Source organism: Homo sapiens, chromosome 1 (assembly GCF_000001405.40).
Source record: "Homo sapiens chromosome 1, GRCh38.p14 Primary Assembly".
Lineage (NCBI taxonomy): Eukaryota > Metazoa > Chordata > Mammalia > Primates > Hominidae > Homo > Homo sapiens.
In genome coordinates, this window is record NC_000001.11 from 77,554,692 (window position 1) to 77,567,514 (window position 12,823).

The window sequence follows — 12,823 nt, forward strand, 5'->3', positions numbered from 1 at the left end:
ACCTCCCGGGTTCACGCCATTCTCCTGCCTGAGCCTCCCGAGTAGCTGGGACTACAGGCGCCCGCCACCATGCCCGGCTATTTTTTTTTTTTTTTTTTGTATTTTTAGTAGAGACGGGGTTTCGCCATGTTAGCCGGGATGGTCTCTATCTCCTGACCTCGTGATCCACCCGCCTTGGCCTCCCAAAGTGCTGGGATTACAGGCGTGAGCCACCATGCCCAGCCTCTGCGGTTATTTTTGATGGAACAAATATTTATCAAATATTTGCTGTGTACCCATATTTTATGATGTCAGCCCATTCCTTAAAAACTCTTACATGGGCTGGGCACCTGTAATCCCAGCACTTTGGGAGGCTGAGGTAGGCAGATTACTTGAGGCCAGGAGTTCAAGATCAGCCTGGCCAACATGGTGAAACCCCATCTCTACTAAAAAGACAAATGGCCAGGCATGGTGGCACACACCTATAATCCCAGCTACTCGGGAGGCTGAGGCAGGAGAATCGCCTGAACTTGGGAGGCAGAGGTTGCAGTGAGCTGAGATCGTGCCACTGCACTCCAGCCTGGGTGACAGAGCAAGACCCTGTTTTAAAAAACAAAAAACAAACAAAAAAACAATTCTTACGTGGTTCCTCATTATCGTCATGCAATAGGGTACATAAGCCTCTTCATAGCCTAGCCTGTCCCTACAATTCCAGCTTCACTCCTTGCTACTCCCCCTCATATCTGGCCATCCACCATTTTGAACTGGTCAGCATAGTGTAATGTAGTCAACACGTGCAAAGACTTCAGAATCAAAGGCCTGGGTGTGAACCAGTTCTCTCCACTTACTTAACCACATTATCTTGAAAAAATTTAATTCATCTTTCAGAGCCCCTGTTTCATCATCTGTAAAACTGGGATAACAATACTTCTAAGATCATTGATAGGATTACTTTGGTTATTTAAAAAGCATTCCTGTGCCATTACTAGTAATATTTATCATTTTAAATGATGACAATTATTACTTTCCTCAGAAAGCTTCTCTGCCCTCCCCACATTATGGAAGGTGCCCTTATAGCTCCTGTGCTTATCTCCTAACAGTGTAAATTCCTGTTGAATGTTCATCTCTACCACTGAGCGTGAGCTCTTGGAAAACAGGACCATTGTTTCTCGTTCAACTTGGTTAACTGCAAAACATTGATGATAACCAGGAAATGCTTGTTGGTTGAAAGGAAAAGAAGAAAGAAGTAAAGCAATAAGCAAGGTGCTGTGGGGGCCATGAACATGGCAAAGGCAAAGCCCCTACCATCCAGATGTAGAACCTGTAGCTGGACAGACAAATTGCAGATTGCTATCTTTGAGTCTCCTGTAAGGATGAAGTATATTTATGAGAGGGGAAAAAGAACTTTAAAAAAACTTATTTTTTCCTTATTGTGGGCTATATCATACATACAGGAATGCATAAAAGTAGTATGTAGAGTTTGAGGAATAAAATGAACACTCATGTAACCACCATGCAGGAAAAGAAATAGAAGAGAGTTGCAGAAGCTCCACCCTCCCCATATGTCTCCCCTGTCACAGCTTCCTTCCTCTCCCCAAGAAGTAACTCATGTCCTGGATTTCGTGATAATCATTTCCTTGCTTCTCTTTATGACTTTATTGCCTATGTATGGATCCCTAACCAATATAGCTTTGTTTTTGAACCTTATATAAACTGAACCATACTGTATTCATATTCTTGAGACTGGCTTGTGTCTCTCAAGTTTGTGAAATTAATCCATGTTGTTGAAGATAGCTGTGGTTCTTTTTCTTTTAATTACTATAGTATTCCATTATATGACTATGTCACAATTTATCCATCTATTGCTAATGGACATACAGGATTTTTCCAGTTGGGGAACGACAAACAGTGCTTCCGTTAATATTGTTGTATCCATTTTCTCCACTATCTGAACATGCAGCATTCTTTTTGTTGATATTGTTGAGAATTCACTCTACCTCTGGAAGCAGTGAAAGCCCTAGGGGAAGAAAAATTCAAACTAGTTTGCACAAAGAAGATTTAAATAGGTAGACAAGAGTCTCAAAGTGTGCTTGTAAATGTGTGTTTGAAAACTTTGTGTTTCTCAAAGTGTGCTCCAAGATGGCCCACAACAAAATCATGTGGAGAATTTGTTAAATATACAGATTAAAGACCCAGCCCAAACCCACCAACCAAGACCCTCTGCAGTTATGGCCTGGAAAGCTGTGTTTTAGCAAGCTTACCACCGCCCGCCCCCCACATGACTCATGTAGATCACCAACCCTCTACCTTTTTTTTTTCCTTTTTTCGTTTGTTAGCATTTAGTTAAGCTCCCTCCTTGTGGCTTGAAGCCACCAGAACACAGCCTCCCTACCTCCCCCCACATATACACCCTTAATCTTCTCCCAGCTCTCCTGCCGAAGAACTTGGCCTTCGTGACAGCAGGCTACTTTGGGAGTTTCCCTTCCTCAGAATTCTGCAGTAGCCCATAGCACTCCATCAATGATGGGAGCAGCTCCAGCCTGTTTTATTTATTATTATTTTTTTTTGTCAGCGTGTGATTACTCATGTCTCCTGACTGACCAAGGTCCACATTTGTCAAGGTCAAGAGTTGGGCAGAAGCTCTGGTTTCTCTTTAAGAGGTAATGCCTCATAACCAACTTTACCAAAGTAACCTGGGTGACACTCATGGAAGTTGATGCATACCACCAGCATTTCCCTGGCCTCCCAGGTGCTTCCCGTGCTTGGCCAGGCCTTTACTTTCTGTAGATGATACAGGTGTAATGGAACAAATCTCAGCGGTGGGTGCGTTAGGAGAGGAGAAGGGGCAGTACTTTCGTGCCCAGAAAATCAGCTTCCCTTCATATGTCCTCCTTGGGCTAGCATGCCAACAGTCTCCAAGCGGACTCTACCTTAGCACACCTACACACTGCGGTCCTAGTCTTTTGCTTTCTTCTCCACATCTCTCTCCCTCATCCCTCAATCTCTCCCCTATTCCCAAATGCTGCAGAACACTCAGAAGTCTCATTTTAAGTAACTCCGAAGTCTTTCCATGACCCCTAGCAATGTTTTACCTAAATAGGCACTTATTGTTTTAAATAGACTTTCCTTTTTAGAGAAGTCTTAGCTTCACTGCAGAATTGGGCATAGAGTTCCCATATACTAGTTACACTGCTCTAAAAATCCTGTGCTCTACCTACTCATCCCACCCCCCACCGCCCTCTGTTCATCGATCATTGATCTTTTTAAACCTGCCTCCAGTTTTGACTTTTCCAGAATGTCATATAATTGGAACCATACAATATGTACCCTCTTCAGAGGAGCTTGTATCACTGAGTAATATATATTTAAGTTTAGTGCTGAATAATATTCCCCTGTCCATCTGGATATATCAGTTTATCCATCCATTAAAATACTGAAGATCATCCTGGGTGCTTCCAAGTTTTGTCAATTATGCATGAAGTTGCTGTCAACATCCATATGCAGGTTTTTGGGTAGATGTTCAGGTTTCAGCTCATTTGGGTAAACACCAAGAAGTGCAATTGCTAAAAAGTATGGTAAGAGTATGTTCAGTTTAAGAAACTGCAGTGTCTTCTGAAGTGGGTGTACCATTTTGTGTTCCCACAAGCAATGAGTGAGAGTTCCTATTGCTCCATGTCCTCACCAGCATTTGGCGGTGTCAGTGCTTTGGATTTTGGCTATTCTAATAGATGTGTAGTGGTACTTCATTGTTTTTTTAATTGAGACACCTAGTTTTAAAACTACTCTTCACTTTTTTCTCTGTGTTTTGGGGGGGGTCTTGTGTTTTAAAATTTTGCAGAGCAAATTATGAGCAAGTGATAGTGTTCTTTCATTATTAAACATGATTTACAGATATTTCAGACTAACTCTCTTTTTTTCCTTTTAAATATAGATAAATGCAGAGGGAACACCAGAGGACGTTTTTCTTCAACTCTGCACAGCTATTGACTCTATTTTCTGAAGGCAAAAATGCATGTTTGTTAGAATGGAAACAGAAAAACATTAAAAAGTTCATTCCTTAACACAATGTTTCAAGTTAAACCTTTTGTGTCACCGCCCCCACCAACCACCACCTCCTAAATCCTGACAGCACTGTTTGCTTCCCAGCTAGACCTGTGTGAGAGGTGTCTGGAAATCATGCATGGTGTATTTGGGACTATATCAACCTATTCTCCACACTTCAGACAACTGTCTGCACTCACGGCACACACACTTTGTATCATGCAGGCCACACTCAGAGCTAGTCAGTACATGAACAGTGGTGCGGTGCCAGTCTGTGTCCGTTGTGATCACAGGCCTTGCTAGACCCTGATCATCTGGTTCTCCTCTCATTAAGCATCCCTAACCCCCAGTCACACCTTCCTCTTACATACTGTTCCCCAATGGAGGCCCCTGGCATAGGGGACAGCCCTGGGCATCTTCCTTTGGTGTCTGGCTGTTTTGTCAACTCTCATCCACTGGTGGCTCAGAGCCATAAGGTGGGTTGATTACACAATGCCTTGTACATGATATAGAGGCATCAAGCAAGTAAAATTTGACAGAAATTTTAAAATATGAAGATGTATAGCTTTCCCAAGATGATGGTAAAACCCAGGTTAGTCATCAGTAACCTTCTCTATTATTATTATTTTTTAGAAACTTGGAATACTGTCGTCATGGCTAAGAGAACAAATCTGATAAATTGTGTAACCTAGTCTCTTCTCTACATGGTGATGCATTTCAGCAATTATAAATTAATATAAATGACCAAAAGTAACTTAAAAGCATGAGATATTTGCTATTTCATTCATTGGGCACATATCAAATTATAATTTTGATTTTAAATGGTCACCCATGTATTTATTTGTTGCCAAGCAAGTAAAAAAATACCCTAACAAACCTGATGTGGGTGGGAGGGGCATGTCAGTAAGTGGTGTGTTCAATGTGTTTGTTTCATATGGGCCCTTTCCAGGAGTTTGCAAACCTTGTCATACCCATATGCAAAACTGTGTTTCCTTGCATTAAACCAGTGAAGTTTGGGTTCTCTTTTGTGCTATCAATCAGTTGTAAAATCAGAGCTGCTTATATATTCTACTGGAATAACTGCATCTTCCACTCAGTCACTACAAAAAAGCATAGTTTCAGTTTGCATGAATTTTTTTTTTTTTCTTCAATGGCTGTGCAGATAAGGATCCATTTCTGGGATAGAATTGTATTTTTTAAGTCATTTTTTTTTCTTGAAATGGATATGTACAAATAAAATAAATGGAAGACAGGATAACTCTTTTTCTATTTATTTGTAACTCACATCATTCTGGAAAGCATTTGAAGCCTTATTCCAAACAGAATTAGAAGCGAACACAGAAATAGTCAAGATGATTTACGATACGCTTATATGGTTTTAATTTTAGCTATAGATCAGTTTTGAGTTATTACAGAGAGAACTCAATGTATTCATGATACATGGTAACTGTCATATTTCCTCTTTCTCTAGCACTCATTCTGAAACAGAAATGTTAGTGTTTGCTAAAGAAGAAATTAAATTTCTTTGGTTACAGTTACGCCTCTATTAACAAAAAGGGGCATGTTCCCATAACTCCCAACAGTTGTCAAATACTTTAATACTACCCCAAGTTGTCACACTCTCTATCGGGGAGCATAATAAGTACCTGAGCAAACTGGAAAAAAAAAAGGTTACAGGATGAAAATCATCAGTTGTGCCAGAAAACATAAAATGACTCTTTGTAGGGATTGACATTCTTGAAACACATACCATATACTGGCAGACACAGTCCATGCCCAGCACAGCTCTGACTGCACAGGTAAGGAAAATGAGACAGCAGAGGGGCAGAAAGGTCCAGCCATCTTTTACAGGCTTCTACGGCTGTAGCTGACAGCCACCTTGAAAAATTTAGCAAGGGTAAATGGCTTTGCCCCTGAAGAGTATCTAGAAGTGCAAATCAACTCTTCTCTAGAACACATTACTGATTTGAATGGCTTGAAATGATATCACTACTTTAAAGTCATAAGATTTTAATACTGGAAAAGACCTTAGAGGTCTCTGTCTAGCGAAAGACCTGTGTGTATGTAGAAGACATCAGAACACAATCTAAACTCCTTTACAATGATGTGTTTTCAAGGCCACATCTGAGCTGGCTTGTGCCCTCTTCGACGCCATCAACTACTACTCTCCTCTTGCTCATTTGGCTTAAGCTACTCTGGCCATCTTAATGTTGCCAGAACAAGCCACGGTCTACTGGCTCAGGGCCCGTGTGCTACTGCTATCCTTCTGCCCCTTCCTACAGATTATTCATGCAGCAAATTCCCTTGCTCTATTCTGGTTTCTATTTGAATTTACCCTGGCCAATAGAGGATTTCTTTGCTTATTCCATCTAAAATGGCAGACTATTCCCCATTCTCCCATTATTATTTTTCTCTGAGCATTACTTATCTTCAAAGCATTTATCCCTGCCTGAATTGAAGTAATAGTTTTTATTTACTTACTTATTGCTGGTCTTCTGCATTAGATTATAACCTCCATAAGGACACGGCTTGGTATCTCCAGTCCCACACACAGTAATTATTATTGAGAGCTAACATATTTAACATACTCTCTGCACCTCCAGTTTTCTCATGTATACAATGGAGAACATAATAGTAATGAACCTCATAGAGGAACTGAGGATTAAACAAAAGTTAGTAAGACACACGAATCATTTACTAGCTCCTAATGTGCAATGAAAGGTAGTTCTTTGTCAACACTTACTGAGTGCTTCACTTCCACAACTGGGACTAAGACCCAGAATTTTCACTCCAGTGTCCTTTCCATTACCTTGCTTTTTTTTTTTTTTTTTTTTGAGACAGCGTTCTCCCCCAGGCTATTATGCCATGGCACCATCTCGGCTTACTGCAGCCTCAACGTCCCAAGTTCAGGTGATTCCCCCAAACTCAGCCTCCCGAGTAGCTGAGACTACAGCCACGTGCCACCATGCCCATTTGTTTGTATTTTAAGTAAAGACAGGGTTTTGCCATGTTGCCCAGGCTGGTCTCAAACTCCTGGGCTCAAGCAATCTACCTGCCTCGGCTTCCCAAAGTGTTGGGATTACAGACGTGAGCCACCATGCCCAGCCCCATTACACTACTCTTAAAAACATGGAAGAGAATCAAGATACACAGCCTATCTAGGGTCCCACAGAGAACCAAAACCACCTCTGCCACCCAGGGTTGAATCACAGCCTTTGGGTAAGATAGAGTCCAATTCCCCTGTCCTCTCACAGAACTGTCAAGATGACCTTCTGATGCAAGGCCTCTAAGGATCTCACAGACACACTCAATCATAGGTGGTGTCTCTCAAGTTCCTGGAGGAAAAAAATGTAAACTCACCAAAATGTTGGTCATACAACCAACACATATTTATTGAGAATCTATTAAATGCCAGGCCCTAGAGATACAGACAGACATGGATCGTCTCTGTTCTCATGGAGCTAAATGTATTATAACTCTGAAAACTCTAGTTAACTAGCTACATTAACTGTAGAAAAAAAAAGTTGTATCTTTTTTCTGGGATCATATAAATAGAAGAACATTTTTCATCAAGAAATAAAAACAGTTTACAGCCTAAACAGAACAATGTCTTCATAAGCTTGTGGAAAACCCTACTGAAATCTGAAGACTTCCAATCCCATCCAGTGCATCTATAGATGAACAACAGGCTTCAAACTTCAATATCCACAATAAGAAATAGTTTTATATAGCACACAACACATATTTATGATTGAAAAAGACATTTCACAAAACAATATTTATCTTTATTACATGTGATGTACCATTTTCTCTATTCCATTTTTTCAAATGTTCATACCTAGTAAATTTTTGTGTTCTGTGAATCAATTTAAACAAAAAGGGGAAGGGGGGAAAACAGACAAGGCATACTATTAGGTTAAGTGAGAAGCACCCAACATGCATAGAAGAAAATCCTACCCAAGGCAGGAAACACAAGCCTTAGTCCCAGCTTTGCCTGAGACTTTGCAAGCCTGGACATATGCTCAGGTTTGTACTCTTAGGAAGCACACCACATCAGGAAAACAGAATGTAAGGCAACATCTGCACACCTCCACTCCTAACACCTAGTGTTGCCTGACACAAGGGGAAATTCCTGCTCAGGAAACAGGATAGTAAGGCAGACGCTGACTCTGAAGTAATCTGCCTAGGTTAAAATCCAAGCATGACCACTTTACTAACTATACGACCTTGGGCAGGTTAATTAACTTCTCTCTGGCGAGATTTCCTCATATGACAACAGGATAATAAATGACCCTGCCTCATAGAGTTGTTAAGAATTAGTTATCATATGCTTGCTTGGCACATAGTAAACACTGTATCAGTGTTTTCTATTATTATGCATCACACAAAAGGAAACCTCCTCTACCTAAATCTTACAACAATGGTTTTAGATATTAAAAGTTTCTTAAGATGTGCAAATAACTTGAGCACAATATATCAGGAAATAGATCTTATCTACTGAATACCACTGAATAAGCAATGCTTTAGCAAGTAGGTCTTTTACAGTCTGTTTTAGCTTACAGTCCAATAATTCTATGTAGGCAGATGGTAGCCTACCGGCAAATGACAGCTCTGCCCATTATTCCTGCAACTCTCAAATTAAAACAATAACAAAACACTACCTACTACTATCTGAACTTCAGGGCCTTTTAAAGCCATGGGGGCTGTTTCCTTGGAGCTGAAAAATGCAAAACAAACACATCTTCTGCTCAAGCCGAAAAATCTTCTTAACTCAAAAATCTCAAAAAATGTTTGCCCTAGAAAAATGCATTCAAATGGTTTGTCTATTCCATTTATATAACAATTGTATCACTCATATCCCTCTTCCAAAGCATACATCATACTTTATGGAATTTTTGAATGGATCTGAATGGCTTTCCAAAACTAACTGGTATTATTTCTACACAAACATAGAAGTTACCATCAAGCATTACTATCTTGCCTAATTACAAGTTGAAGGCAGATCTTCTGGCATATTCACAAAACATTTAATATAAAAACGCCCAGAATGCTAATGATTCCCCTCTTCACCCACTAATAATTCCAGGGTGAGAAGTTAAGCTCAAGTCCATTTACTTTCCTTCTGTTATGATATATTATATCTATATCATCAGTGATCTTTAATCAATATATTACTTTAAAATTCTCATATTTCTATATTTAAAATTCTATTACTTTTCTCAATTAAAAAAAATTCAGGGTATGATTTTAGTACCCTGCTATGTACTGAAGAGAACTAGTAAATAATGTTCCCTTGATTTAAAATAGGAAAAAACAGGTGATTCTAAAAATTGGGTCAAATATAACAATCAATCTTAGAATATTTATACTATCTTTTCCTATAGTTAATAGTAATTTCCAGGAAACAAGGTGATTTTTCAAAAGCCATCTGTTTAAATACATGGGGGCTTATCTTCATGAGACACAACTAGAAAAAAAATTTTCAACTTTAGTTTTCACACCTGAGCATTAATAATTGCCTTTTTCTTTAACCATGGTCCGTGTTTCCTTTTTGTAAGCTAGTTTAATTTAGTGTTTCAGCACACACTGAGTAAAAATCTTTACCATTTTTTACAGGGTTGCTTAAGATCACCCTCTTTTCCATAATACATTCCTTATTCTTCATAAATGACAGAAAGAAAACTCTTAAATATGTGAAGCAAACCATTTTAAAAAATACCAATTTCTGGTTTTAACACTGGTAAAAAAAAAAATCCAAAATCTAACCAAAAGGAAGTCACAACAAGCATTCTATAATATAAACAGACAGTATCCACATAGTTTATTTCTCACAGTTCTCCTGACAAATGAACATCATTCAAGAACATACTGTATACACAGATAAGAAGAAACATACAAAATGTTTTAAATGATGCACAACAAAATCCAGCAGTATAAAAGAATGCATGTGAACCCTTGCTCACTGTGCAGACTAAATTTAATCACTTGTTTAAATAGTAATAAAAATACAATCTTTTATGGATCTTGTGCAGACTACAAAAGAGGGAAATTATTACCATATATATGATTTTTATATTAGGCAGTTTTCTTTGATGAGTTGTACTGACAACTCCAAATACAGAGGCAGAAGGCTGTGTATTTTAAAGGAATTAATGTTGTGAATTAGAAACTTTACACAGTTACTACCACTGGCACTTTTCACCATAGTTTGTACACATCACATGATCATCTTATATAACATTACATTTAAAAAATATATCTGAGTGACAATTTTATAACATTCACACACCATGAGCTGGTTAAGGAAGCAATGCCACAGTTGCCTCCTGTAGTGCTTCACTGTTGGTAATTAAGGACAATTCATTGTGGTTAAAAGAAATTAGATATCAATATGATTAAGCAGCTCCAATTTACTAAAGGCCATCAATGACCACCACTGGGACAGTGAGTTCTTTTAAAGTGTATATCCTAGAAGCAAACACCATCATTGGTTAAAACTTTGTCTAAAGAAGTCAGTTTCTGTGCTGAAAACTATTTTCACAAAACTGAAGGCTACTAAACTGTTTTAATATAAATACTTTGTCTTCTCATTATCATATTTATGACCAAGTTCTTTGAAACCTTTGGAATTTACTCTCTCTTTAATGTGTGCTCTCGTTCCATCTCACCCATTTAAGATCACCACCTAAAACGCAGTGGTGAAAAATTCACCAGGGAAACCTTTGCTCACCAGGAATGTTCAGCTGCTGAACAGTGATCTAGAGCCACAACGGTGCAGAGCTGTACTTGACGAGAACACTCAGGAAGCTCTCATGCTGTGAGTGTCATTTCTGGGAAAGCAGAGAATCTTTCCAAACTGTGCACATAATTAACAATGATACCATTGCTATGTGTTGAAGAGGACTAGTAAATGATGTTCTCTTCCATGTCATCTGTTTGCTGGAAAGTAGTTTGGGTCAAGGTAATTGTAACTGGTGCCCTGAGACACACAGTAGTCTCTGTCTAAGAATGTCTCTGACCTATAAATAGGTTCTAATTGGTGATCTTCCTTGTGAATATCTGTTTCATGTAGACTGTAAAGAAAAAAAGACACACATCATTACATGGTAGTGGATGCATTTTAGTCTGTGTATTACAAAGCTTCCTCACAGCTCTCCCTGTTTAAATCCATTAATCTATCAAAATCTCCAACGGAAAGTTACTTGACATGTGGTATGATTACAGAAAAAAATTAATTGCCTAGAACAACAAAATTTAATTCACTAAGTGTGGGTATTAATATTTTCTATGTTTGGAAATCAAATTCACTAATGGCTGAGAAGCTCTTTTCTTGTCTAAGTTGAAGACTGACAATGAAGAAAACACTTACCAGTCTGAACAAGAATCACAGAAATCCAAAGACATTTCTGGAGGACAATCCTGGCAATGCCACCGAACACCCTGGATGGGTTCTATGCCACAGTTATCACACTATAACAGATTCAGAGAGAAAATGTATTAAGTTATACTGTTCCACGATCTTTTTTATTTTCCACAAGGAAACACATGATGTGCACACAGACATCTTCTCTTCTCTCTCCATGCACAGGACAGTAATATAACACACAAATGGTTATGTGTTAGAGACAATTTCTAGCAAACTAGGTAAAATTCCATCCACTCAATATCAAGATATGGGTGAGTGAGAGGAACATTGGAAGGGATAATCTTCAATCAGCTTAAATTTATTTAAAAATTTTTAAAAGTAAATCATCTCCAACTTGGGTGTTTTGTTATTTGTAATCATCTACTTGAAAGGTACCTCAGACCACTGTATGATGACTATGGTTGAGAAACAGAGAGTTAATACCATAGTTAAAACTATCCAAATACTGGTTAAGGAAGCAATGCCACAGCTGCCTCCTGTAGTGCTTCACTGTTGGTAATTGATACAGAATTGTTTTAGCAGGTTCTCTTGGCTAACATAAACCCAGGCAACAATGAAATTCTGTCTAAACTTTTATCTCTTATTGAATCGCTCTCCCAAAGCCTAAAGACTCCTAATAACCAATGCCCATCATGTCAAAAAGGCAGATCTAGCTCTTTCTCAGCGTGGTGGCATTGTGACAGTCCTCAGTGTGTTCTGTGCACTTTTGGAAATCAAAGGATCTATCATTTCTAGTTTCTTTGATCATCTGGTCAACTATAGTGGCTGACAGAATGGCAAACAAGCCATGGCTGGGTTTTGCAGCAAAATTAGGAGAAGTGAAGCAAGTTTTTCTGAAAGGCCAGAGCTGCCAGTTAGGAAAATCTCTATTGGAGAAACAGGGTCACTGAAAGATCAAGAGGGAAAATCATTTAATATAGTATGGTTACTGGCTACTCTAGAGGATCAAAGGTATAACTTTGTTTTTAATTTGGTTTACCAGTCACAGCACACATCAGTACTTTCATGTGCACCCACCAACACCACCAAGTTTATGGTCTCATTATTACTTCCTCCAGTCCAACCAAGTCAATTCTAATGCCTAAAGGCTTCTCAAACTTGCCAATCTTTATTTCCATGGCCACCAGTCAAGTTCAGGACACCCTCCTCTTTTGTCTAAATTATCAAAAGAATCTCTAACCAGTTTCCTTGACTCTAGTCTTGCCTTCCTCTAATTAAGTTTCCATACTATGGCCAAAATGATGAGGGGAAAAGCTGGTCAGTTCCAAACCCACTGCTTTCCTAAAGATCATCACCCCCAATAGTTTAAGTAACTAGAATGATTCTTTCCAAAACGTAAATGTCATGTTACTTTCTGCTTAAAATCATTCAATGGTT

At 38.8% G+C, this 12,823-nt stretch overlaps 2 protein-coding genes across 27 annotated transcripts in view; one reads left to right on the forward strand and one right to left on the reverse strand.

Annotated features, from left to right (window-relative positions):
- AK5 (adenylate kinase 5) overlaps nucleotides 1-5,275 on the forward strand; it is a 277,948-nt gene extending 272,673 nt beyond the window's left edge. For all 6 annotated transcript variants that reach the window (NM_174858.3, XM_005270739.6, NM_012093.4 and 3 more), the window contains one exon: nucleotides 3,911-5,275. In NM_174858.3, the coding sequence (NP_777283.1) occupies nucleotides 3,911-3,979 (69 nt within the window). In that variant the 3' untranslated portion in view covers nucleotides 3,980-5,275. The remainder of the gene's footprint in view (nucleotides 1-3,910) is intronic.
- A 2,449-nt stretch (nucleotides 5,276-7,724) lies between these two features.
- ZZZ3 (zinc finger ZZ-type containing 3) overlaps nucleotides 7,725-12,823 on the reverse strand; it is a 120,983-nt gene continuing 115,884 nt past the window's right edge. For all 21 annotated transcript variants that reach the window (NR_164775.1, NR_164777.1, NR_164776.1 and 18 more), the window contains 2 exons: nucleotides 11,390-11,490; nucleotides 7,725-11,093 (listed from right to left, as the gene is read on the reverse strand). Coding sequence is in view for 18 of the 21 variants with exons in the window: in NM_001376151.1 (NP_001363080.1) it covers nucleotides 10,949-11,093; nucleotides 11,390-11,490 (246 nt within the window). In the remaining 3 variants the exon portion in view is untranslated. The remainder of the gene's footprint in view (nucleotides 11,094-11,389; nucleotides 11,491-12,823) is intronic.